We start from the raw sequence: 26,530 nt of genomic DNA, 5'->3' as shown, positions 1-26,530 counted from the left end.
AATTCCTTCACGCTATTCAAAGATTAACAAAGCATGTAATTGCAGATACTCAAAGCATATCAGATTTCTATTTAGAAAAATGTGTAACGATAAAAGACTAACTTCACTATATTTCTGAGTTCTTATTTTAGCATATGAAAGGTAAAACTCTTCAGTCTTTTGGACCCAGGAAAGGCATAATTAATTGTATGGTGCTGATTGATATACATATAGGATTCCATACATTAACCCCAAGATTTCAATCTTTCTTCTCCATTCCAAAGGTCTCTAAACTACTTCCATTTCTATTTGCAATTCACTTGACCCAACAAAGTTTCAGGAATCTACCCTAAGAAAATAATCACAGAAATTTAAAAATATGAATCACATAGATATTCACTGCAACTTGGTTTATAGTAATTTTTTTAGTGGAACTAACCTAAGAGCCTGTAGAAATAGCCAAAGTGATTGAGTACATTATGGTATTTCAAGCAATGGAATACAATGGGCCATTTAAAATTATGTACTAGGCTTGGCACAGTGGCTCACGCCTGTAATCCCAGCTCTTTGGAAGGCCAAGGTGGGAGGATTGCTTGAGGCCAGGGATTCAAGACCAACCTGGGCAACATGGCAAGACGCCATCTCTACAAAAAAATTTAAAAATCAGCTGGGTGTAGTGGCATGCACCTGTGGTCTCAGCTACAAAAGAGGCTAAGGTGGGAGGATTGCTTGAGCCTAGGAGGTCAAAGCTGCAGTGAGCCATAATTGTGCCACTGCACTCCAGCCTGGGTGGCAGAGTGAAAACCTGTCTTAAATAAGTAAATAAATAAAATTATATACTAAATGAGTTTTTAAAATATTTATAACATATGGCCAGGTACAGTGGCTCACTTCTATAATCCTAACACTTTGGGACACCAAGGCAGGCAGATCACTTGAGGTCAGGAGCTCGAGACCAGTCTGGCCAACATGGCAAAACCCCGTCTCTACTAAAACTACAAAAATTAGCTGGGTGTGGTGGCACATGCCTGTAATCCCAGCTACTCAAGAGGCTGAGGCATGAGAACTGCTTGAACCTAAGAGGTGGAGGCTGCAGTGAGCCAAGGTCATGTCACTGCACTCCAGCCTGGGTGACAAAGCAAGACTCTGTCTTAAAAAAAAAAATATATATATATATATATATATTTATATTTATATTTTTTATATATACTTATATTTATATATATACATATATATATTTAGAACATATGATTCAGTAAAAATAGTACACTACCTAAAGTCATTTGTATATGATTTTCTGAAAAATCTGTTCAATAAAATATTAATATTAATTATAGCTTTTCTATAATCATGAGGTTTTAAGTAATTATTAATTTCTTCTTGGCACTTTTCTGTATAAAAAATATTTTTTACAATATGCATATAGTGTTTTTATTACTCATTTATTTAATAAATACTTATTGAGTACCCATCATACACCAAGCCCCATTAAAGGTGCTAAAGATACAACAGTAAACAAAAGAGATACAAATCCAGCCAGGCGCAGTGGTGTGCACCTGTAGTCCCAGCTACTAGGGAGGCTGAGGTGAGAGGATCACTTGAACCCAGGAATTTTAGGCCAGCCTGGACAAGATAGTGAGATCCCCATCTCTGAAAAACAAATTATTGACCTCATGGAGCTTATGTTCTATTTGGAAAGATGGACAATAATCAAAATATTAATATGTGTAAAATGTATAGTACATCATAATAGGACTAGAGAGAAAAAATTAAGCAGGAAGGAAAGAGGGGCAAGAGATATTAGAGGAGTAAATTTTTAGATATGTTATTCATGGAACATCTCACTTGGAAAGTGCCATCTGAATGAAGACTTAAAGGAAATGGAGGCAGCCATGTGATATCTGGGGGAAGAGCCTTCCAGGAAAAGAAATTAACAATTGCAAAGGTCCTGAGGTACAATCAGGTCTGTCAGGTTCAAGGGACAGCAAAGAAGCCAGAGATCTGGAATAGAAAGAATAAGGGGGAGAATGGTAGCAAAACCAGGTCAGGATGAGCCTTTTGGCTCATAGAAAACACTGTCTTTACCCTGAATGAGAACAGAAGTCACTGGAGGACTCTGTGCTAAGAATTGACATGATCTAATTTGTGTTTTAACAGGATCATTCTGGCTGCAGGGGGCACAGTCAGAGGCAGGAAAACCACTCCTATGAACCAAATATTTCTGTCCTCTGAGAATTCATATGTTGAAGTCCTAATTCCCAATATGATGGTATAATATTTGGAGGTTGGGCCTTTGGGAGGTAATTAGGTCATAAGAGAGGAGACCTCGTGAATGAGATTAGTGCCCTTATAAGAAGGGACACTGGCTGGGTGTGGTGGCTTATCCCTATAATCCCAGCCCTTTGGGAGGCTGAGGCAGACAGATCACTTGAAGCCAGGAGTCTGAGACCACCCTGGCCAACATGGTGAAACTCCATCTCTACTAAAAATACAAAATATTAACTGGGCATGGTGATGCACACCTATAATCCCAGCTACTTGGGAGGCTGAGTCACAAGAATTGCTTGAACCCAGGAGGCGGAGGTTGCAGTGAGCCAAGATCACACCCACTGCATTCCAGCCTGGGCAACAGAGCAACACTCTGTCACAAAAAAAAAAAAAAAAAAAAAAAAAAAAAGCAGCAGCAGAAGAAGGAGGAGGAGGAGGAGGAAGAGGAAGGAAGAGGAGGAGGAGGAGGAGAAACATGGAGAGGTGATCTCTTTCTCTGCCGTGTGAGGATACAGCAAGAAGGCATTCATCTACAAACCAGAAAGAGGACCCTCACCAGGAACTGAATAGGCCAACATCTTGATCTTGGCCTTCCCAGCCTCCACAACTACAAGGAATAAATTTCTGTCATTTAAGCCACCCAGTATATGGTATTTTTCTTATAGCAGCCCAAACCAACTAAGACAGAAATTAGTACCAGGAGTGGGATGCTGCTGTTACAGATACATATTACAATACTCCAGGTGAGAGTTAATGGTGGCTTGGACCAAGTTAGTGACAATAAAGGTGATAATGGAAAACTGACACAATTTAGATTTGTTTTGAAGATAGATATGATGGGATTTGCTGAAGAATCAGACATGGAGGGTGAAAGAGAAAGAGAACCAAGTTTGATAGCAAGAATTTTGAAATGATCAACTAGAAGAATGGAATTATGATCACATGAGATGAGGAAAAGTACAGAAGGATTTTGTGGGAACACTGGGAGCTCCGTTTTGGACACATTAAGTTTGAGATGCCTGTCAGAGATCCACATGGAGATATACAGTAGCTAGTAAGATATGTGGTTCTTGAGCTCTGGGAAGAGATCCAGGCTAGACACAGAAATGTGGGAGTCACCAGCATTTAGATTCTTAAAGCCATGAAACTAAATGATATCACCAAGAGAGTAAATTTAGACACAAATGAGAAGAGATTCAGGGGCTGATCCCTGAGGTACTCCAGTATTTGAAAGCCAAAGAGATGAGGAGAAACAGTGAAAGACACTAGCTAGCAAGGTAAGATTAGAAAAAGAAAAAACCTAGGCATGTGTAAAGTCCTGGAAGCCAAGAGAAGAAGAAAACGGTTCAAAGAAAAAGATCAACTGTAACTGATGCTACTGATAGGTCAGGTAAGATAAGACTGACCATTTAACTTGCACTGTGCACTCACTGATGACCTTAATGAGTGGTTTCAGTGGAGCAGATTCCAGAGAGAGAAGAGAAATTGGAGACCATGAATACATACAACATTTTTTTTTTTTGAGACAGAGTCTCTCTTTGTTGCCCAGGCTGGAGTACAGTGGTGTGATCTCAGCTCACTGCAGCCTCCACCTGTCCAGGTTCAAGCAATTCTCTTATCTCAGCCTCTCGAGTAGCTGGGATTAAAGGCACCTGGCACCACGCCCAGCTAATTTTTGTATTTAGTAGAGACGGGGTTTCACCATGTTGGCCAGGCTGGTCTCAAACTCCTGACCTCAAGTGATCTGCCCACCTCAGCCTCCAAAAGTGCTGGGATTACAGGTGTGAGCCGCCATGCCCGGCCATACATACAATGTTTAAGGAGTTTTTGCTGTAAGTGGAAGTAGAGAAAGAGGACAGGGGCTGGAAGTATTGGGTTATTTTTTTAAGATGAAATAAGTAAAATAAATACCATGTATTTTGTTACTAAAGATATTTAACTCATTCGTAGAATTTTAAAATATATTTTAGGAACAACTCATTCCCAATTTTGTCTCAATAATCACCTCTTGTCAGAATGAAGTGTGGAAAACCTAGGTTTCATGAGTTCTCTGCATAAACTAGCAATAAAATCTAATGAGGAATGTTCAGTGTGATCTGGAGTGGTCTAGCTTCTGGGATATTTTTATAACTGGCTACTAAATAAATACCTACCTCTGTGTACTACCCCACAAGCTCAGGGTTAAACTCTACTTAGAGAAATCTTCGAAATTGTGTAAATAAGCATTTGCAGCCCTAATTGATAGGCTATAAACATGCTTAAGACAAGGCTGTATTTGTTAAGACTCTTGATGACATTTAGAAATGAGCCTTGGAAAAATTTGTCAAGACTCCAAAGATATTTGAGGTCAATAACTTTTTTTCAAATTGAGTTTAAGGGCCAAGTAATGCAAAATGCCAGTACTTTCAAAGACATATCTTGCTATCAGAAGCTAGTATTTTAATGCTAGCTAAAGCGAAAAATATATTGCAGTATCCTTACTGTAATTTTTCATTTAACTCTACAACTTTCTTCTTTAATTCCTGGTTCTCCTTGATTGCAGCGTGAGCTGTGATTTCTGTTCTGATTTTAGAAGTGGAAAGTGCTGCTGATTCTTCTTCTAGTTCCTGAACTCTGTCTCTCAAAGAGGTAAGGAGAGATGATTTTCTGGCATTGTTTTCCTTGTAGCTCTCCATTTCAGCTTTCAGTTCTTGACAGGAGACTTCTTTAGAAAGCATCTTGGATCGGAGGTCTTGAAGCTAACATGGAAAAGAAGTTAAAAAAAAAAAAAACCTTAACAACATAAGTTTGAATTATCTTTAAGAAACCCAAAGCCATCATTTAAATGTTCACTCTTTTATTCATGACTTAATCTAACTTTATTTTTTTTCTAATATTTGTATCTGTATTACCAAATGAGAAATTATGCCTAAATAATGGACTTTATATTCTATCTTTTCCAAAACCAATTGAGCAATGTCTTATGTTGTTTAGTCTCATTCAGGAGACATTTATGATGTTGATTGCATAAGCAATAAAATATTTTGCAATGGTCCACATTTTCTAAATCTGTATTGCTATTATTGCTGCTGATAAACAGTCAGACAAGGAACCTACAAACCATATGATCTGTGATTTCACAGCCATAACTGTTCCTCACTTAAATACAGACTACTCAGTATATCACTATATTTCTCACACTTATCTCCTGGATTCTAACTGTGAGTGATAAATAAAAATAACATTTAAATTTCTGGGAAAAAAAACATAGGAGAAAAGAAAAACCCTTATAGGATTTATATAAAGAGAACATTTTAACTTTTATGAGTTCTGTGATATCGAAATGCTGAACAATATATGTGCCCTATTGAGTTAAAATGTCAGATCTACCCTATGAGAAAAAGTTATGAAAGCATCTACTTCTTTGGAACTGTGAGTGTGCATACATACATTTATTCACACACACATTATCAACTCATCGTTCTATGGGGTCCTGGCAGCCTTAGTGAGAAATCACAGGCCAGTCTAGAACTCCTTGGGGCCACCAGGCTATAAGCAGAATGAGTTTAGGAAGACTCTCAGAAACTCCACTCTAAACCCGAGCTAGCCTACAGGGTAGATGGATCCCACTCTTCTTCCTAGAATTTCCCCAGCCAGTTGGAACTACCACAGGAAAGGGATTCAGAATTCCCTCTTAAGAACTCCAGATTGCAAGCAACCCACATTAAAGGAAGATATTCTGAGAGATGCTAAATTTCTCTGAGGCCCATGGAGCTTTACTTAACATCTTCAGGCGCCCCCAGATCTCTCAAGGCTGTATAGCTCCTCTGAGATCCAGAATTCAGCCCAAGCCACCTAGCTTTACAATCTGGCAAATGCATAACTTTTCAGGAATTCTAGGGGATAGGCACAAGAGAACAAGTTTCAACTTTGCCAAAAGCCTTAAATCTATATCCCACTGTCCTATTTCTAATCACTCCTACATTCTGTCTCTTTTTCTTTTTCTTTTTTTTTTTTTTTTTTTTTTTTTGAGATGGAGTCTCACTCTGTCACCAGGCTGGAGTGCAGTACTGTGATCTCGCCTCACTGCAACCTCCACCTCCCGGATTCAAGTGATTCTCCTGCCTCAGCCTCTCGAGCAGCTGGTACTACAGGCGCTCACTACCACACCCAGCTAATTTTTATATTTTTAGTAGAGACAGAGTTTCACTACGTTGGCCAGGATGGTCTGGATCTCTTGACCTCGTGATCTGCCTGCCTCAGCCTCCCAAAGTGCTGGGATTACAGGCGTGATCTGTTTCATTTTATAAGAAGCTAAGAAGGCCCATTTCTGAGTGCTGGAAATGCATTATCTTACCTCAGACTGAGCACATTCAAATTTGACCAAAGTTGCTGCAAGTTCACTTCGAGCATTTTGAGCCACATTCCGATAGTGGTTTAACTGCTCCCGCGTGACCGGGACTTCCGAAAGATGATCGTAAGTTTCCTGGTAGAATTCCCCCAAAATACAAAATATAAAGAAGAGTGTTAAACGATCTTTTCCGTGCAGCTGCACAAAGCCAGATTAAAGGCAGAAGCATTCTTTGTATTCCAAATATGTCAAACATGCTACGCAGAGAAGTGTTATGTTCAGACCATTTGGTTCTCATTCTCAAAGTTCAAAGGGAAGCAGGAGAAAGTTCGGGAACAAATGATGTGCTCCTCCAGGATGGTGATGAGGTTTGTCATTTAAGAATTGGCCTATGGCAGAGTGTGTTGGCTCACATCTATACTCCTAGCCCTTTTGGAGGCCAAGGCAGGAGGATTGCTTGAGGCCAGAAGTTCCAGACCAGCCTGACCAGATAGAGACAGCAAGACCCTATCTCTACAAAAAGAAAAAAAATTTTTTTTAATTTGTCAGGCAGGGTGTCATGACCTGTAGTCCTATCTACTTGAGAGGCTGAGGCAGGAGGATCACTTGAGCCCAGGAATTTGAGGTTTCAGTGAGCTATAATTGCACCACTGCACCCCAGCCCAGCCAATAGAGAGAGAGAGACTGCCTCTAAAAACAAAAAAACAAAAAAAGATTTTCCTTCCACCCGACTCAAATGGTATTTGACCTCTGCCCAGAATCAATAGACTCAACAAAGAATTATCAGAGAAGAACAATGCTACATCCTGTGTAACGAGGGACAGTTTTCGTTATTTTTCTTTGTCCAGATCACAAAGATGATCAGCTCATTTCTTGTCTGTTGATTAAAGTGTCTCATTTATTTATCAAACAGATCATGTGATATAAATGTAAAAGGCTGTCTCCTTTGTAACTATTCACTATGCCTTTTATACTCAGTCTCATAACCTCATAACCATCATATTCTCAATCTCATAATCTCATATCCATGAATCATGAAGGCAACTGAAATGAACATGTGAGACGAGAGATGGCAGTGTCACACATGGACAGCCCCTGCCCATCTGGAAGGGAACAGGTCTCAGCTCCACTGGTGGTTGCAGATACAGAAATAAGGATTTCCAGCCTGGCCAAACCACTCCAATTTTGGAATTTCCAATTCCAAATCATTCCAGTTTTTCAAGACAAGTCATATATCCAGACTTTTTGAAGTGTAAATTCCCAGTTTTTGCAGGTTGGCAACTGATTTAAATGTTTAAAAAAGAAACACATATGAATCAAATAAACACACCTGCAGAGCAGATTTGGTGGGTTTGGCCTGTGGGCTGCAGACTGAACCCTCTGGTCCTGTTTCCATCTGACTCATGCCATATGCCTGCTTCCTTCAAGAATTATTACTGAGGTTGGATATCTACACCACCTCTATGGAGTTTCCAAGGCCTGTGGTCTTTGTGAAAGACACAGAAGAAAGCCATTCATTTTTGAAGGAATACAAAAGAGGTCACATAAAGGAGGATTTCCTGGAGTATTTAAATGGCCTCAGGAGGCTCAGCGATAAAATCTATTTAAGACTGCCAGAGACTACTCCACTACCAGCAACTACTGTTTGATATAGTCATGAATGCAAAAGTCTTCTTAAAGCTCATAACTTTCCAACAAGCGTCATGACCAGTGTGATTCAGTCCACAAAATGCCAAACAAAACCTTCGGAGCTCTTAGTAATAGCTACTGTTTGCCAATCATAGCACAACCAAGAAAATGGTAGATATGTACTCTGGGGAAAAAGCATAAGAAGTTTAACTGAATCTCTTATTAGAGAACCACATCCTGTTCAGACTCATTCAATAGTCGGAGGGTCTTCTCCACCCTGACCACCACACCATATTTTCTAAACTAGGCCATATGAGGACATACGTCACTTATAAGAGATTTCACCTATAGTATGTATGGCATACCATTTTATAAAATTTATTAGGAAAATAAGTTTCCCAATGGCTATGATTATTTGATTATTTCTTTCAATGACTAACATCTTTTTTTTTTTTAAGAAAAGAAGCTAGACCAGGTGCAGTGGCTCAGGCCTGTAATCCCAGTGTTTGGGGAAAATGAGGCAAGAGGATCACTTGAGCCCAGGAGTTCCAGACCAGCCTGTGCAACAGTGAGACCCCATCTCTACAAAAAATTAGCTGGGCGTGGTGGCATGTTCCTGTTGTCCCACCTACTTGGGAGGCTGAGGTGGGAGGAAGGCTTGAGTCCCAGGAGGTCAAGCTGCAGTGAGCTGTGATCGCACCACTGCACTCCAACCTCAGCAGCAGAGCAAAACCCTGTCTCAAAAAAAAAAAAAAGGAATGAATGAATGAATGAACGAGAAAAGAAAGAAAGAAAAGAAGCTGTGTATTAAGATATTATTCCCTTAACACTGGAGTAGGGACTACATTTGGAGAGCTCTTTTGATGAGTGAGTTTAGAAGGTAGGTGCTGAATCTAAATCACCCTCAGAGTCCAACAGACTGGAGATTGTCCACCAAGTGGTATTTACTGATAGCCTACTCTGGATCAGGCAATGAGCTGACAGTCTAAAAAGGGAAAGAGAATTTATCAAACAACCACACTTAGAATTGTGTAATTACAAAATGAAATAAATGCAAGGAAGGCAAAAAGGCAGCTAACAAAGGAAAATGACTTCAGATGAAGGAGGTGGAAGGAAAGAGTTCCCTAAAGAAGTGATGATTTTTTTTTTTTTTTTTGAGATGGAGTTTCGCTCTTGTTGCCCAGGCTAGAGTGCAATGGCACAATCTCGGCTCACTGCAACCTCCACCTCCTAGGTTCAAGCGATTCTCCTGCCTCAGCCTCCCGAATAGCTGGGATTACAGGCATGTGCCACCACGCCCTGCTAATTTTGTATTTTTAGTAGAGATGGGGTTTCTCCATGTTGGTCAGGCTGGTCTTGGACTCCCAACCTCAGGTGATCTGCCTGCCTCAGCCTCCCAAAGTGCTGGGATTACTGACATGAGCCACTACGCCCAGCCAGAAGTGATGATTAAATAAGAATGAAATAGTCGGCCAGGTGCGGCGGCTCACACCTGTAATCCCAGCACTTTGGGAGGCCAAGGCGGGCAGATCACAAGGTCAGGAGATCGAGACCATCCTGGCTAACATGGTGAAACCCCGTCTCTACTAAAAATAAAAAAAAATTAGCCGGGTGTGGTGGCGGGCGCCTGTAGTCCCAGCTACTCGGGAGGCTGAGGCAGGAGAATGGCATGAACCTGGGAGGTGGAGCTTGCAGTAAGCCGAGACCGTGCCACTGCACTCCAACCTGGGTGACAGAGCGAGACTCCATCTCAAAAAAAAAAAAAAAAAAAGAGAAATAGTCAAGAGGTATTGAAGCAGGAGCTGCCCACATCATTCAAATAGCAAAAAGGCCATGCAAGGGCCCTGCGGCAGGGATCTGGCCCGTGCAGGCAAGGATCTGAGAGAAAGCAGCGATGCCTACAGACAAACACAGACAAAAAATAGTGGCAGCAGGGCTTAAAAGGCAGCTCTGAGGTCATTAATATATTTTGTATCTGGTAGGACTTATTTTTCTGAATAACCCTGGCTATTCTTACATATTCATTTTCCCATATGAAATTCAAAATCTTCTTGGAAAATTCCAAAAAATTTTGTCGATATTGTTACTGGGGTCATGTTAATTTTATAAATAAACTATAGAGAATTTATATGTTTTAAATGTTGAGGCTTCCAACTAAAATCATTTTTCTCATTTGTTCAAGAAGCCTTATTCTTTTTTTTTCTTTTTTTTTTTCTTTTGAGACAGAGTCTCCCTCTCACCCAGGCTGGAGTGCAGTGACGTAATTTCGGCTCACTGCAACTTTCACCTCCCAGATTCCAGCAATTCTCCTGCCTCAGCCTCCCGAGTAGCTGGGATTACAGGCATGTGCTATGACACCTGGCTAATTTTTGTATTTTTAGTAGAGACAGGGTTTCACCATGTTAGCCAGGCTGGTCTCGAACTCCTGACCTCAAGTGATCAACCCACATTGGCCTCCCAAAGTGCTGTGATTACAGGCATGAGCCACTGTGCCCAGCCAAGAAGTCTTATTCTTATTAGCAATTTAGATTTACTATATTTTGTAGTTTATCTCTAAAAATATTATCTTTTTGTCATATTGTAAATGGGGTCTACTTATTCCTATATATTAAATATGTACCTAAATATCTTTTTTATGTTTCTTATTGTTTGGGATTGTTTTCAATAGATTCTCCTGGGTTTTGCACTGTAAACATGCAAATCATTTGTAAATAATGAAAATTTCACCTTCTTCTTTCCAATTTTTATACCTCTATTCCTTTTCTTGACTAATTGCATTGGTTAATAACCCCAGAACATTTGATATGGTTTGGATGTGTCCCCACTCAAATCTAATGTTCCCACTCAAATATCATCTTGAATTGTAGTTCCCATAAACATACAAGTTGTGGGAGGGATTCAGCAGGAGGTAATTGAATCATGGGGGGCAGTTACCCCTGTTCTCATAGTAGTGAGTTCCCATGAGATCTGATGGTTTTATAAGGAACTTTTCATCCTTTTGCTCTGCACTTCTCCTTGTGCTGCCATGTGAAGAAGGATGTATTTTCTTCCCCTTCTGCCATGATTGTAAGTTTCCTGGGGCCTCCCCAGCCATGCTGAACTGTGAGTCAAATAAACCTCTTTCCTTTATAAACTACCCAGTCTCGGGTATGTTTTTATTAGCAGCATAAAAACTAATAACACATTGTTAAACATTAATAGCAATAACGGACATTTTGTCTTGTTCCTAACTTTCATAGGAATGTATTTGGGTTTTCCCCCTAAACATTATGGTAGACTTAAGCCTTGACATCCTGGGTTCAGTTGATCCTCCTGCCTCAGTCCCTCGAGTAGCTAGGACTACAAGCATGTGCCACCACACCTGGCTAATTTTTTGTATTTTTGGTAGAGACAGGGTTTCACCATGTTGACCAGGCTGGTCTTGAACTCCTTGCATCAAGTGATTTGCTTGCCTTGGCCTCACAAAGTGCTGGAATTACAGGTGTGAGCCACCATGCCTGGCCTGATTTTATTTTTTATATTCAGTGCTTTAAGTCTATCTTAAATTTATTTGGTTTATAATGTGTAAGTACAGCTCTAAGCTTTCTTTTTTCAATCTCATTCATGAAGCCTCCACCCTCATAACCTAATCATCTTCTCCCAAAGGTCCCATCTCCTAATACCATCTTCTTGGAGGTAAGGATTTCAGCATATGAATTGGAGGAACAACACAAACATGAAAGCCATAGCCGACTTTCTAAGCACAAAAGCAATGCAAGAACATTCAAGAAAAAGTGCACAGATGACAACAAATTTTTTAAATGTGTAAGCAGAATTTAAAGTGAAAGAGCAAACTGGAAAAATATTTCCAGAAATAATACAAAGAATCAAAACTTTAATATGCAAAGAGCCTATTCACACCAGTAAGAAAACCAATGACCTAAGAGAAAACATCTATAGAAGAACTAACAATTATCAGAAGGGCCATAAATGGCTAATAAAATGAGAAATGTCCCACCTCACTCATCATCAATTAAATATAAATTTAATTATTATTTCTGATCTTTAAAACTAGCAACATTTTAAATATATTTAATAATTAAGCATATTGGCCAGGTGCAGTGGCTCACACCTGTAATCCTAGCACTTTGGGAGGCTAGGCCGATCATGAGGTCAGGAGTTCAAGACCAGCCTGACCAACATGGTGAAACCCAGTCTCTACTAAACATACAAAAATTAGCTGGGCATGGTGGCATATGCCTGTAATCCCAGCTACTCAGGAGGCTGAGGCAGGAGAATCACTTGAACTCAGGAGGCAGAGGTTGCAGTGAGCCAAGATCACGCCACTGCACTCCAGCCTGGCTGACAGAGCGAGACTCTGTCTCAAAATAATAATAATAATTATTATTATTATCATTATTAATCATATGAAAAGATAGTTCTATAAGAAAGACATGCTAATACACTGCTCAAATAAAGATAAACTGGTACAAAATTTCCAGAAAAGTATTTGGCAATATGTATCATTAAAAAATTTTTAAAGTTAACACTATTTGTCCTGGTGAATTTCTTTCTCATGATCTTATCAAAAGAAATGGAAATAAACCCAAAAATTAAACACAAAAATATTCAGAAAGGTACTCTTTAGCAACATTTTCAAAAAATCTGCCATAGCAAATATTTAAAACAACTAGAGTTCAAAAATAAAAGAATGTTAATATAAAGAAAAAACAATACTGATACAGTCACACAATGAAATTATATTCAGTAATTAAAAATTATATTTTTGGAGAAAAATGTCATTAGGTCCTGATACATTAATCCTCATAAATGGGTTGATGCTGTTATTCTGGGAGTAGGTTAGGTATCACCAGAGTGACTTTGTTATAAAATAAAGTTCTCTCTCACTCATGCTTTCTGGCCCTTCTACCCTTCCACCGTGGGATGACCCTCACCAGACACCACACCATGCTTTTGGACTTCCCAGTCTCTAGAACTATGAACGGAATAAACTTATTTTCCTCATAAATTACTCAGTCTGTGGTATTCTGTTATAGCAACAGAAACTGGACTAAGACACTGCCGCTCCACTCTCCAATTATCTCCTTTATGAAAATACTCATACATGTGCATAGAGATATGTATAAAGATATTCGTTATACCATTATTTTGTTTTTGTTTTTGTTTTTGAGACAGAGCCTAGCTCTGTCAGCAGGGTGGAGTGCAGTGGCTCTATGTCAGCTCACTGCAACCTCCGCCTCCCGGGTTCAAGCGATTCTCCTGCCTCAGCCTCCCGAGTAGCTGAGACTACAGGCATGCACCACAATGCCCAGCTAATTTTTGTATTTTTAGTGGAGACGGGGTTTCACCATGTTGGCCCGGCTGGTCTCGATCTCTTGACCTCGTGATCCTCCCACCACAGCCTCCCAAAGTGCTGCGATTACAGGTGTGAGTCACTATGCCCAGGAATACAATTATTAGTAATAGCAGCAAGAAGGATGAGGATGTTGAAACCATAAATTCCTGTTGACAAAGCAATTATCAAATAAAAATATTTCTATACTATTGAATCCTATGCAACAGGTAATATGAGATAGATCTGTATGCTTTGGCATGGTAATATCCTTAAGACATCACTGAACAAAAATAAGATAATATAAATTCATTGTTTGTTACTGTTTTTCATAAAACACATGCAGGAGGAAAAGTATTGTGTTTTTGTCTATAAATATATTTAGAGACAAGAAAAAAAAGAATTTTACAGAATCCCCATCACCTGATAACAGTACTTACCCCTGAGGGTGACACGACAATTGGAGTTGTGGTGAGAGGCGCAGTGGTTTGACTTTTTCAATAAGGATGTATTTACTCATTATTTGTACAACTAAATATAATTTAAAGAAAAGAAAAACACTGGGAATAAGTGTTAACTATGGTTATCTTTTGGTTGTAAGGTAGACTTTTTTTTTCTTTATTATATGCTTATATATACATATATATATATTTTGAGACAGAGTCTTACTCTGTTGTCCAGGCTGGAGTGCAGTGGCACGATCTTGGCTCACTGCAACCTCTACCTCCTGTATTCAAGCGATTCTCCTGCCTCAGCCTCCCAAGTAGCTGGGACTACAGGCATGCGCCACCACATTTGGCTAATTTTTGTATTTTTAGTAGAGATGGGGTTTCACCATGTTGTCCAGGCTGGTCTTGAACTCAACTGATCCACTCGCCTCAGCCTCCCAAAGTGCTGGGATTACAGGCATGAGCCACCACACCCCACCTATGCTTCTATATTTACAAATCCTTTACAATAACTGTATTACCTTCACAATTAGAACATTCCCTCTTAAATTTAAAAAAAGAGACAAGGACAGACAAAAATCACCAACCCTGCTATGCTGTGTCTTTATGAAGAAGGTGATGACAAAGAAACAACCATAGGTAACATAGACTTGAACAGATATGAAAGCTGACATTTTGGGGGTTTTCTCTCTTAATTCAGCCCTCCTGGAGTTCATAAAATTTTCTGAAAATTCTTCAACTTTTCCTGTATCAAACAATCTTCCCTTAAAAAAATTTTTCCCCTATTTAAAATGGCAAGATTAAATAAAAACTCATCCATTTGTCCTCACCTGAGGACAATCTAAGTTATTAGGTACCTCTCAGCTAACCCATGAAGCAATTTTAGATTAGTTTTAGAGAGCCAACTACATATGATTTGATTCTGCTACTGATATTATTATGATAATGATTGAAATTGTCTCACGGGGTGGCTCACAGTCTTTTCAGAATAAAGGGTGGTTTCAAAGCTCAATGGCATAAAGCAAAGATAAGCTTATTCATAATTTAGTATACAATGTGCCAAATTATCTGACCTGGGGACAATGTCTTGGGCCAGTCTTGCTACTATGGTATTTAGTTGTCTTATTATCCCACGGACGAAAAAATAAGAAGAAAATCACTGCCTGCCCCTAACACACAAAAGCTCCTAAATCCATTCCATTCTTATCATTCTATCCCATAACCAATCTACTCTTTGTCCCAGCATTATCCCATGCTGCAGTGCACAATTGTATTACCGCAGGCTCTTCCATTATGGAATGCCTCCTTGTGCCTGTCTCTTCTCTACCTCTCCCTCTCTCTCTTTCTATTTCTCTCTCCCTCTCTTTCTCCCCACGCCCCCACCAAGCTTCCAGTGGTGCCCAGTAAGCAACTCCTTCTAAGAAGCTCTCCCCTACTGTCCATGTTTTTCTCACTACATAAAGTTTCTTCCCTAATTTACAGTGTATACATTAAGTCTTGAAAGTTGCATTTCTCCAATGTTATCATTCATCCTGTCAATTTTTGACTATTTGCCAATTCTCCCCACTTGGGAGGACTTTCCTGGCCCTCCTGGTTTTCTTCCTTCTTCTATCTGCTCGTGGTTTCTGGGGCCCACTAGAGCCTGCAGAGGAGAGTGTGGCAGCTGTGAGATCCAGAAAATATATCTGAGCATCTATACCTTAGCATTTGTGGGAAAAGTTTTGGAAGAAGACATTTCTGCATAAAATCAAGTACGGTGAAAAAACTGATCATATTGTTTTTACATTATTTTCCATCTCTTTTCTCTTGGGTGTTACTCTTATTCAGTTAAAAATCCTTCTAATATGGCTAAGCTCGATGGCTCACACCTGTAATCCCAGCACTTTGGGAGGCTGAGGCAGGTGGATCACTTGAGGCCAGGAGTTCGTAGCCAGCCTGACCAACATGGCAAAACCCTATTGAAAATGCAAAAAAAAAAAAAAAAAAAAAAAATAGCTAAGCATGGTGGTGCACACCTCTAGTCCCAGCTACTCAGGAGGCTGAGGCACAAGAATTGCTTGAGCCTGGGAGGCAGAGGTTGTAGTGACAATGATGGTGCCACTGCAATCCAGCGTGGGTGACAGAGTGAGACCCTGTCTCAAAAAAAATTCTTCTAATTCAACATCCTTGTTGAAGTGAAGGCAGCATTCTAAAATATTCTTAACACTCTTGCTCCCCTGAGTCTTCTTTTCATTGAGTGGGCAGGGGCTGCACTTAGAAAAACTTTCACTCTTCACAAAACAGTCCTGTTATTCCCTCACCTAAAAATCAGGCAATTAAGGCCTAAAATGGGAATTATATTGCTGGACAGAAAACAAGTAGAAGGCCAGGGGCCGTGACTCACGCCATAATCCCAGCTACTCAGGAGGCTGAGGCAGGAGAATCGCTTGGACCCAGGAGGCGGAGTTTGCAGTGAGACAAGATCGCACCACTGCACTCCAGTCTGGCGACAGAGCGAGTCTCCATCTCAAAAAAAAAAAAAAAGGCCAGGCGGGGTGGCTCATGCCTGTAATCCCAGTACTATGGGAGGCCAAGGCAAGCGGATCACTAGGTCAAGAGATTGAGACCATCCTGGCCAACATGGTGAAACCCCATCTCTACAAAAAATACAAAAATTAGCTGGGCGTGGTAGCGCATGCCTGTAGTTCCAGCTACTAGGAAGGCTGAGGCAGGAGAATGACTTGAACCTAGGAGGTGGAGGTGCAGTGAGCCAAGATCATGCCACTGCACTCCAGCCTGGACATCAGAGAGAGACGCCATCTCAAAAAAAAAGAAAAAGAAAACAAGTAGAAGACAGATGAAAGAAAGAAAGAGAGAGAGGAGAGAGAGAGAGAAGGAAGGAGGGAAGGAGGGAGAGAGGGAGGGAGGGAAGGAAGGAAGGAAGAAAGGAAGGAAGGAAGGAAGGAAGAAAGGAAGGAAGGAAGGAAGGAAGGACTGGTACCAGATCTGGAAGCAATGATTGCTTTTCTTTGCTGTATAACAAATAAAAACAAATTTAAAGTATGCTTAATGGAGGGATATGTAAAATGTCCCAGCTACTGCAGGAGACACTTTTCTTTCCTGTATAATAAATAAAAACAAATTTAAAGTATTCTTAATGAAGGGACATATAAAATGTCCCAGCCACTGTAGGGGACACTTTGGCATATACCCTGTGACCCACAGTCCTACTTCTAATTTTATATGCATGTTCATGTTTTGTAAGTGTCCATCAATACATGAATTAGTTAACTATAGTGTCATGCACATCTGTATGAAGAGACCACCCAACAGGCTTTGTGTGAGCAATAAAGCTTTTTAATCACCTGGGTGCAGGCGGGCTGAGTCCAAAAAGAGAGTCAGCAAAGGGTGGTGGGATTATCATTAGTTCTTAAAGGTTTGGGATAGGTGGTAGAGGTAGGAGCAATTTTTGTGGTCAGGGGGTGGATCTTACAAAGTACATTCTCAAGGGTGGGGAGAATATTACAAAGTACCTTCTTAAGGGTGGGGAAATATCACAAAGTACATTATCCCAAGGGTGGGGAGGGTGTATTGTCATAAGGTCAATTGATCAGTTAGGGTGGGGCAGGAACAAATCACAATGGTGGAATGTCATCAGTTAAGGCAGGACCTGGCTATTTTCACTTCTTTTGTGGTTCTGCAGTTGCTTCAGGCCATCTGGATGTATACGTGCAGGTCACAGGGGATATGATGGCTTAGCTTGGGCTCAGAGGCCTGACATATAGTACATTCATAAATGGAAATCTCCAAAGCAGTTAAAAGAATCAGACTAGGCTGGGTGTGGTGGCTCACGCCTGTAATCCCAGCACTTTGGGAGGCCGAGGCAGGCGGATCACAAGGTCAGGAGATTGAGACTATCCTGGCTAACACAGTGAAACCCTGTCTCTACTAAAAATACAAAAAATTAGCTGGGTGCAGTGGCGGGCACCTATAGTCCCAGCCACTAGGGAGGCTGAAGCAGGAGAATGGCGTGAACCTGGGAGGCGGAGTTTGCAGTGAGCCGAGATTGCACCACTGCACTCCAGCCTGGGCAATAGAGTGAGACTCCGTCTCAAAAAAAAAAAAAAAAAAAAAGAATCAGACTAAATCCATTTGGATCTATTTGGAGATAAATAGATCTCAAAAACATACTGTTTTTTAAATAAAGTAAATTAGAGAACAAAACTAACAGTATGACACCATTTATGTCTTAAAAGTACATACCAAACTTTTGTGTATAGGCACAATGTGTATAGGCACATTGAAATGAAATGAAAAAAGTATTTTTAATGGTCTGAAGGACACTCACCAAACTTACATCATAATAACCTCTGAACAATGGGAGAAGATGATCAAGATTAGAGGTGGTTGTCAATGGAAACTGTAGCTTCATTTGTAATGTTCTAATTTTTAAAGAAAAAGTGACTATAATTTTAGTATTAAAATCAATTTCTTAATTAAGTAAAAGACAACTGGAAGCATGTTTTAAAAGTCCAATTTATTAGGTTTTCAGTTTTACATCCTAATATTCATATATTGCAGCCTTCAAGAATCTGAAAACTGTTTGTGAATTCCATGTTCATGAATTCTTTATTGGCTTCAGAGGCCACAGGAAATCCTGAACTTGGACCCCTGCATGGTCAAAGTAGAAGTCAAAAGGAGAATCACTGAGTTCCAGCTGAGAGAGGAGAAAGGAAGAAACTAGTCAGGCAGACAGTTAGGGTGGGTCCTCAGATGAATTCTTTCGAACTGAAGAACAGCCTGCAGGCACAGATAAGGGAACTTGCACAGGGGGGCTTGCCCAGACATGCCTGCAATGGAAAATTCCATCCCCTAACACATGCATAGTAAGGAGAACAAAGCAATATGGAGTAACTTAAGCTAAGCGCCCACATGTGCACTAGGAGGTCAGGGTGGAGCTACCAGAAATTTGCACCTTATGCAAATGAGATGCCCAGCCCTCATCGGTTTCTTACAAAAGCCTTTGCATTCAACTGCAAAAACCAGCAACCCTCTTCTGGATCCCCTCTCCCCTGCAGTGAGCTTTCTCCTTTCGCTTATTAAACTTTCGCTCCAACCTCACCCTTTAATTCTCTTGGTCCTGAGACAAAGTACTCCAGGTGATAACTCACACAAAGAGACCAATACATTGTGGTGCATTGGCCAGTCTGTAACACAGCAGTGTTTGCAATGCTTTTGTTGTGCAAGTACACATTTTGACTACATTTGGGACAGGAAATTCATTGTTAAAATAAACGGAATATAAATAGTGTTCTGGCCAAAATATTAAGTGTCTTCAAGGATTAAAACAAGAATTCAATGATTTTTTTTTTTTTTTTGAGACAGAGTCTTACTCTGTCACCCAGGCTGTAGTACAACAGCACAATCTCAGCTCACTGCAACCTCCACCTCCTGGGTTCAAGAGATTTTCCTGCCTCAGCGTCCCGAGTAGCTGGGATTACAGGCGTGCACCATCACGCCTGGCTAATTTTTGTATTTTTAGTAGAGACGGGGTTTCACCATATTGGCCAGACTGGTCTCAAACTCCTGGCCTCAAGTGATCCACCCACCTCAGCCTCCCAAATGCTGGGATTACAGGCGTGAGCCACCATGCCTGGCTGCCAAGAATTCAATTTTTTTTAATACTTTTATTAACTGGGAAAACATCTCCAATTAGCAAAGGATATGCCAGAGAGAAAATTAAATAGCTTCTGTGATGCACTAAATCCTTGCTTTATTTTCCAAGGTGTCCTTAGCTCTGCCTGAAGAAGACTCAATAAAAATAATGCTGCTTCATCATTTCTAGGACCCATTTCTTCTGTTAGACAGAATCCATAGCATCCAGCTGCACAAACTCCTGAGAGCAACAGAGCCTCCACAGTGGCCCATTTTGTAAACACATGAGAAGAAAGTGGGAAATTGTAGCAGTATGTAATCTTCCCATGTCTCACTTTAGCAGAAATCAACCTTCCTATAACAATTCTACTGTAACTGGAAAGCGGTCCCATTCCAGACCCCAAGAGAGGGTTCTTGGATCTTGTGCAAGAAAGAATTCAGGGCAAGTCCACAGAATAAGGTAAAAGCAAGCTTATTAAGAAAGTAAAGGAATAAAAGAATGGCTACTCTCTAGACAGCAGATAGAGCAGGGCATTCTCGAAAGCAAGAAGAGAAATGCGCACACCTTAGGTGCGATGCTTGTTTCTATGTAAGATACGATGCTTGTTTATATGCAAGGTTGTTATAAAGTTTCAGTGCCACAAAAGGAATAGCACTCGAATATAACATTTTCTTTTTAATTCTCAGCAAGGCAAGTTACTTCTGTAGAAGGGTGCACCCTTAAAGACGGAGCAATGGTGAGCGCACACTTGGACAAGGGAGGGTAAGGGGTTCTTTTCCCTGATGCACGTGGCCCCTGCTGCTGTGTTGTTCTCCTATTGGCTAGGGTTAGACTGCACAGGCTAAACTAATTCCCATTGGCTAATTTAAAGAGAATGACGGGGTGAGTACTTTGGCGCCAGTCAGGGCAGAGCAGGTAGCAGGTAATTGGAATGAGTTGGGGTTGAGCAGGTGATCGGAATGAGTCAGGGTGGAGTAGGTCATTGAAAAAGGTTCCTTTACAAGGAAGTTAAGTTTAAAAGTAGAAGTCAAAGAATTGAACATACTACATATTAATTCTTTGAAAAGAAATTGAGAACTCATATCTAACAAGATACAATGCTTGTTTACATGTAAGATAACAAAGCAAAAAACATGAGGAAGATGTTCTCTACAAGGCCTTGCAATAAAGGATTGTTAATCTTTGTGTAACTACTGTCTTCTGCAAGAATCTATAGTATTATCTTTAAAGTGAAATTTTTTTTTTTTGACATGGAATTTCACTCTTGTCACCCAGGCTGGAGTGCAATGGCACAATCTCAGCTCGCTGCAACCTCCACCTCCCAGGTTCAGGCGATTCTCCTGCCTCAGCCTTCCGAGTAGCTGGGATGACAGGCACATGCCAACATGCCCAACAAATTTTTTTTTTTTTTTTTTTTTTTTTGAGACAGAGTCTCGCTCAGTCACCCAGGCTGGAGTGCAGTGGCTCGATCTCCACTCACTACAAGCTCCGCCTCCTGGGTTCACACCGTCCTCCTGCCTCAGCCTCCTGAGTAGCTGGGACTACAGGGGCCTGCCACCACGCCCAGCTAATTTTTTTGTATTTTTTTAGTAGAGACGGGATTTCACAATGTTGGCCAGGATGGTCGCTATCTCCTGACCTCGTGATCCACCCTCCTTGGCCTCCCAAAGTGCTGGGATTACTGGCGTGAGCCACCACGCCTGGCCCGAAACTTACGCTTAAACTAAGAATGCTTTTGTTCTTAAGACAGTGGGACATCAAGACATTTCCTTGGTCTATTTCCTGGGTCACTTAAGTCCTGGGTCTGTTCAATAAACATTATTAACTTGTTCCCTTAACTGTAAATATCCTGTTAACTAAGAATGCCTAACCTCCTAGGAATGTGACCCAGTAGATCTCAGCCTCATTTTACCCAATCCCTATCCAAGATGGAGTTACTCTGATTTGAACGCCTCTGATACTTGCAATGAGACAAAGTCCACAATTAGATTTTTATTATTTTCTTTCACAATTTTGTTTTCAGAACAAATAGTATTAACAGCAGATTACAAATCTTATACTGTAGTGCTTAGCAACTCTCATTACTTATCAGAAGGATAACAAGAGTGTCCTCAACACTCTTTTTGGGACAGGCATAGGTAGACTCCAGTTTAGGATCCCATCCTTTCAAAAGATGGAACCCACTGTCTCCTTTATAACCAGAGCTCACCCTCAATTTAATAAAGAGAGTAACAGGAGGCAGCTGGGGAGGGTAAGAAGGAATCAGAAGCCAATGAACAAAATCAGCAAATGAACAGCATGCACACCTTCATAGTAATCCTCTCATTCTTCTAATATTTACAATTTAAACTCTTCCCAAGCCATTTTTGTAACCACCCAATGGGTTCACCTTGCCTGCTGCCTAGACAGAGCCAATTTATCAAGACAGGGGAATTGCAATAGAGAAAGAGTTAATTCATGCAGAGCTGGTTGTGCAGGAGACCAGAGTTTTCTTATTACTCAAATCAGTCTCTCTGAGCTTCAGGAATCAGAGTTTTTAAGGATAACTTGGTGGGTGGGGGGAAGCCAGTGAACCAGGAATGTTGACTGGTTAAGTAAGAGATGGGAAGTTGAAATTGTCCTCTTGTGCTGAGTCAGTTCCTAGCTGGGGGCCACAAGATCAGATGGGCCAGTTTATCAATCTGGGTCATGCCAGCTGATCCATCAAGTGCAGGGTCTGCAAAATGTCTCAAGCATGGATCTTAGGAGCAGTTTAGGGAGGGTCAGAGTCTTGTAGCCTCCAGCTGCAATGACTCCTTAACCATAATTTCTAATCTTGTGGCTAATGTCTTAGTACTACAAAGGCAGTCTAGTCCCCAGGCAAGAAGGAGGTTTGTTTTGGGAAAGTGTTGTTATCTTTATTTTAAACTCTAAACCAAATTCCTCCCAAAGTTATTTCAGCCTACACCTAGGAAGGAACAAGGACAGCTTAAAGGTTACAAACAAGATGGAGTCAGTTAGATTAGATCTCTTTCACTGTCTCAGTCATAATTTCGCAAAGGCGGTTTCATTATTTGTCTGCCCAGGGTCCTGTGTCTGTACATCTTTGCCGATCACAGTTCCCACTGACCATATTTCTGTCTTTCAGTTCTCCTCTCACAGCAACCCCTGTTTCTCCCTCCTGGCACTTATCACAAGGGGAAGGAATAAGCTGTGTGTTTAATTTTTAATAAGTAATCAATGTCTTCCTCCCTCCCCTACTCAGGACCTCACAATGTAAACATGCAATACTTATTTGTAGAATTAAGTGAATGAATGTGTCAGAGGCATTGGAACCAGAGTGGCTCCATCTTGAATAGGGGCTGGGTAAAATGAGGCTGAGACCTGCATCTCCCAGAGGTTAGGCATTCTTTATCACAGGATGAGATAGGAGATCATAAAGTATAGTCACAAAGACCCTGCTGATAAAACAGGATGCAATAAAGAAGCTGGCCAAAACCCACCAAAATCAAGATGGCAATGAAAGTAACCTCTGGTCATCCTCACTGCTCATTATATGCTAATTATAATACATTGGTATGCTAAAAGACACTCCTACCACTAGCATAACGATTTTCAAATGTCATGGCAACTTCAGGTTATTACCCTGTATGGTCTAAAAAGAAGACAAACCCTCCGGTCTGGGAATTCCTCATCCCTTTCCTAGAAAACTCATGAATAATATATGTTGCGGGAAGTCAGGAACCCCGAACGGAGGGACCGGCTGGAGCCATGGCAGAGGAACATAAATTGTGAAGATTTCATTTTAATATGGACATGTATCAGTTCCCAAAATTAATACTTTTATAATTTCTTATGCCTGTCTTTACTTTAATCTCTCAATCCTCTTAACTTCGTAAGCTGAGAGTGTACATTACCTCAGGACCACTATTGTGTTATCTGTACAAATTGATTGTAAAACATATGTGTTTGAACAATATGAAATCAGTGCACCTTGAAAAAGAACGGAATAACAGCGATTTTCAGGGACCAAGGGAAGACAACCATAGGGTCTGACTGCCTGCGGGGTCGGGCAGAATAGAGCCATATTTTTCTTCTTGCAGAGAGCCTATAAATGGACATGCAAGTAGGGAAGATATCACTAAATTCTTTTCCCAGCAAGGAATATTAATAATTAATACCCTGGGGAAGGAATGCATTCCTCGGGGGAGGTCCATAAATGGCCGCTCTGGGAGTGTCTGTCTTATGCAGTTGAGATAAGGACTGAAATACACCCTGGTCTCTTGCAGTACCCTCAGGCTTATTAGGGTGGGGAAAAAAATCCCACCCTGGTGAATTTGAGGTCAGACCGATTCTCTGCTCTTGAGCCCTGTTTTCTGTTGTTTAAGATGCTTATTAAGACAATACATGCACAGCTGAACATAGACCCTTATCAGGAGTTTTTGATTTCGCCCTTTGCCTTGTGATCTTTGCTTTGCCCTTTGCCTTGTGATCTTTATTGGCTTCAGAAGCACGTGATCTTCATTCTCCTTTTTGCCCTCTGAAGCATGTGATCTTTGTGACCTGCTCCCTGTTTGTACACCCCTTCCCCTTTTAAAGTCCTTAATAAAAACCTGCTGGCTTTGCAGCTCAGGTGGGCATCATGGTCCTACCGATATGTGATGTCACCCATGGAGGCCCAGCTGTAAAATTCCTCTCTGTACTCTTTCTCTTTATTTCTCAGCCGCCTGACCCTTAGGGAAAATAGAAAGAACCTACGTTGAAATATTGGGGGCTGGTTCCCCTGATACATATACCCCTTGTTTATCACATAATCAAGAAATAACTATAAAAATAGCCAGCCAGCAGCCCTCGAGGCTGCTCTGCCTATGGAGTAGGCACCCTTTTATTCCTTTACTTTATTAATAAACTTGCTTTCACTTTACTCTGTGAACTCACCCAAATTCTTTCTTGAACAAGATCCAAGAACCCTCTCTTGGGGGTCTGGATTGGGACTCCTTCCTGGTAACAAATGTATGCTTTTTTTACTAACATCTTAGTCCTCACATTTGATTGACTTGACAGTCTCGTCCCATTCTCATCTGCTAAACCAAATCCCCTCAGCCCCTGGAGCTGCCTGATTTCTCCAAGATCCCACCCCCTGGAGATGGGCTGGCTTAGAAAGTGCACAGATTTTCCCACACTAAGAAAGATAGCTTGCAACACTCCATCTCAGCCTGGTCCACCCAGAAGCATTAACAAACTAAAAAACATGGATGTATACCATAACTACAAGTCAAAAGGAGAAAGGTTGCCTTCTTCTGGACTCTGTGGCTGTTCTGGGACATGCTTCTCCTGTACCATGGCAGGACCATAAACTGAAGGCAAGGCCCCACCTTGCTAGTGTTTCGTATAATCTTTACTGTTTGCAAAAGGCCTGGATTTTTGAGAATTCCTTTAATTTCCATCCAAAGCTTAAGGGCTATTTCTTATCCAGTGTGAAAACAAGAAAGAATGAAAAAAAAAAAAGAAGCAAATGGCCGTAAAGAAAAATTAAAGGAGGGAAAAAATAAGAGGAAGCACAGGAGTATTATATATGTGCTGTGAGTATTGTACACTTCCTAGAGGTAGACCACAGCTTGACTTGGCCCTTCCAAGTCGACAGACATGAGTCACATTGATACAGGAGTTAAGAAGAAATTATTAGTGGCCGGGCACGGTGGCTCACGCCTGTAATCCCAGCACTTTGGGAGGCCGAGGTGGGTGGATCACGAGGTCAGGAGTTCGAGACCAGCCTGACCAACATGGTGAAACCCCGTCTCTACTAAAAATACAAAAAGAAAAAAAAAATTAGCCAGGCATGGTGTTGGGCACCAGTAATCTCAGCTACTCAGGAGACTGAGGCAGGAGAATTGCTTGAACCCAGGAGGCAGAGGCTGCAGTGAGCCGAGATTGTGCCACTGCACGCAGCCTGGGTGACAGTGCAGGACTCCATCTCAAAAAAAAAAAAAAAAAGAAGAAGAAGAAATCATTAGTAAGGGTATGGGAGTCCTCAGTAAGGTTTTCTTTTAAATGAAAAGCAGCCCCAAAATAATTTTCTTTTGTTTTTTGTTTACTGAGACACAGTCTCACTCTTGTTGCCCAGGATGGAGTGCAATGGGGTGATCTTGGCTCACTGCAACCTCCACCTCCCAGATTCAAGCAATTCTCCTGCCTCAGCCTCCCGAGTAGATGGGATTATAGGCATGTGCCACCACACTTGGCTAATTTTGTATTTTTAGTAGAGACAGTTTCTCCATGTTGGTCAGGCTGGTCTCCAACTCCTGACCTCAGGTATCCATCCACCTAGGCCTCCCAAAGTGCTAGGATTATAGGCGTGAGCCACTGTGCCCGGCCCCAAAATCATTTTCTTTCCTAACAAAGAGCAGCTTGTAAAATCAAGCTGCAGGCATAGACAAGTAAGCTGGAAGCTTGCATGGGTGGAAGTTGGCAGTTGTGCCAAAAGGAAAAGGCTTCCTGGGACTAGGCATGTTCATCTTCTCTCTTTTTGCCAAAGCATGTGCACAGTAAGGAAAAGACAATATGGCACCAGCCAGGCAAAGACTCCATTTGCATAATAAGATTAGGGTGGGACCACCAGCCTTCCCCACGCACTAGGTAAACATCGCACCTGGTTGAACCAATCTCTGGGCCCTACGTAAATCAGACACTGTCTCCTCAAGCCTGCCTGTAAAATCTGGTACAGTCTAGAGCTGACCAGTTTTTCCCTTTCAGGAACTCCTCTCTCTTTCAAGGGAGAGAGCTGTTCTTCTTTCTCTTTCTTTTGCCTATCAAACCTCTGCTCCTAAACTCACTCCTCATGTGTGTCTGTGTCCTTAATCTTCTTGGTGCGAGATGACAAACCCTGGGTATTTACCCTAGACAACAACACCGCTTCAACATGATTTACT

The 26,530-nt window shown here is 41.1% G+C and overlaps 1 protein-coding gene across 4 annotated transcripts in view; it reads right to left on the bottom strand.

Annotated features, from left to right (window-relative positions):
• CCDC170 (coiled-coil domain containing 170) overlaps nt 1-26,530 on the bottom strand; it is a 127,177-nt gene that overhangs the window by 78,164 nt on the left and 22,483 nt on the right. For 2 of the 4 annotated variants that reach the window (NM_025059.4, XM_047419372.1), the window contains exons 2-3: nt 6,584-6,712; nt 4,729-4,985 (exon numbers count right to left, since the gene is read on the bottom strand). In NM_025059.4, the coding sequence (NP_079335.2) occupies nt 4,729-4,985; nt 6,584-6,712 (386 nt within the window). Of the gene's footprint in view, nt 1-4,728; nt 4,986-6,583; nt 6,713-7,907; nt 8,094-26,530 lie in introns of those variants that run through there. The other 2 variants (XM_011536148.3, XM_011536147.3) reach the window with 2 other exon arrangements.

Source organism: Homo sapiens, chromosome 6, assembly GCF_000001405.40.
Source record: "Homo sapiens chromosome 6, GRCh38.p14 Primary Assembly".
Taxonomy (NCBI): domain Eukaryota; kingdom Metazoa; phylum Chordata; class Mammalia; order Primates; family Hominidae; genus Homo; species Homo sapiens.
The sequence above is the reverse complement of the archived record's forward strand: the minus strand, read 5'-3'. Positions and strand labels throughout refer to the sequence as shown.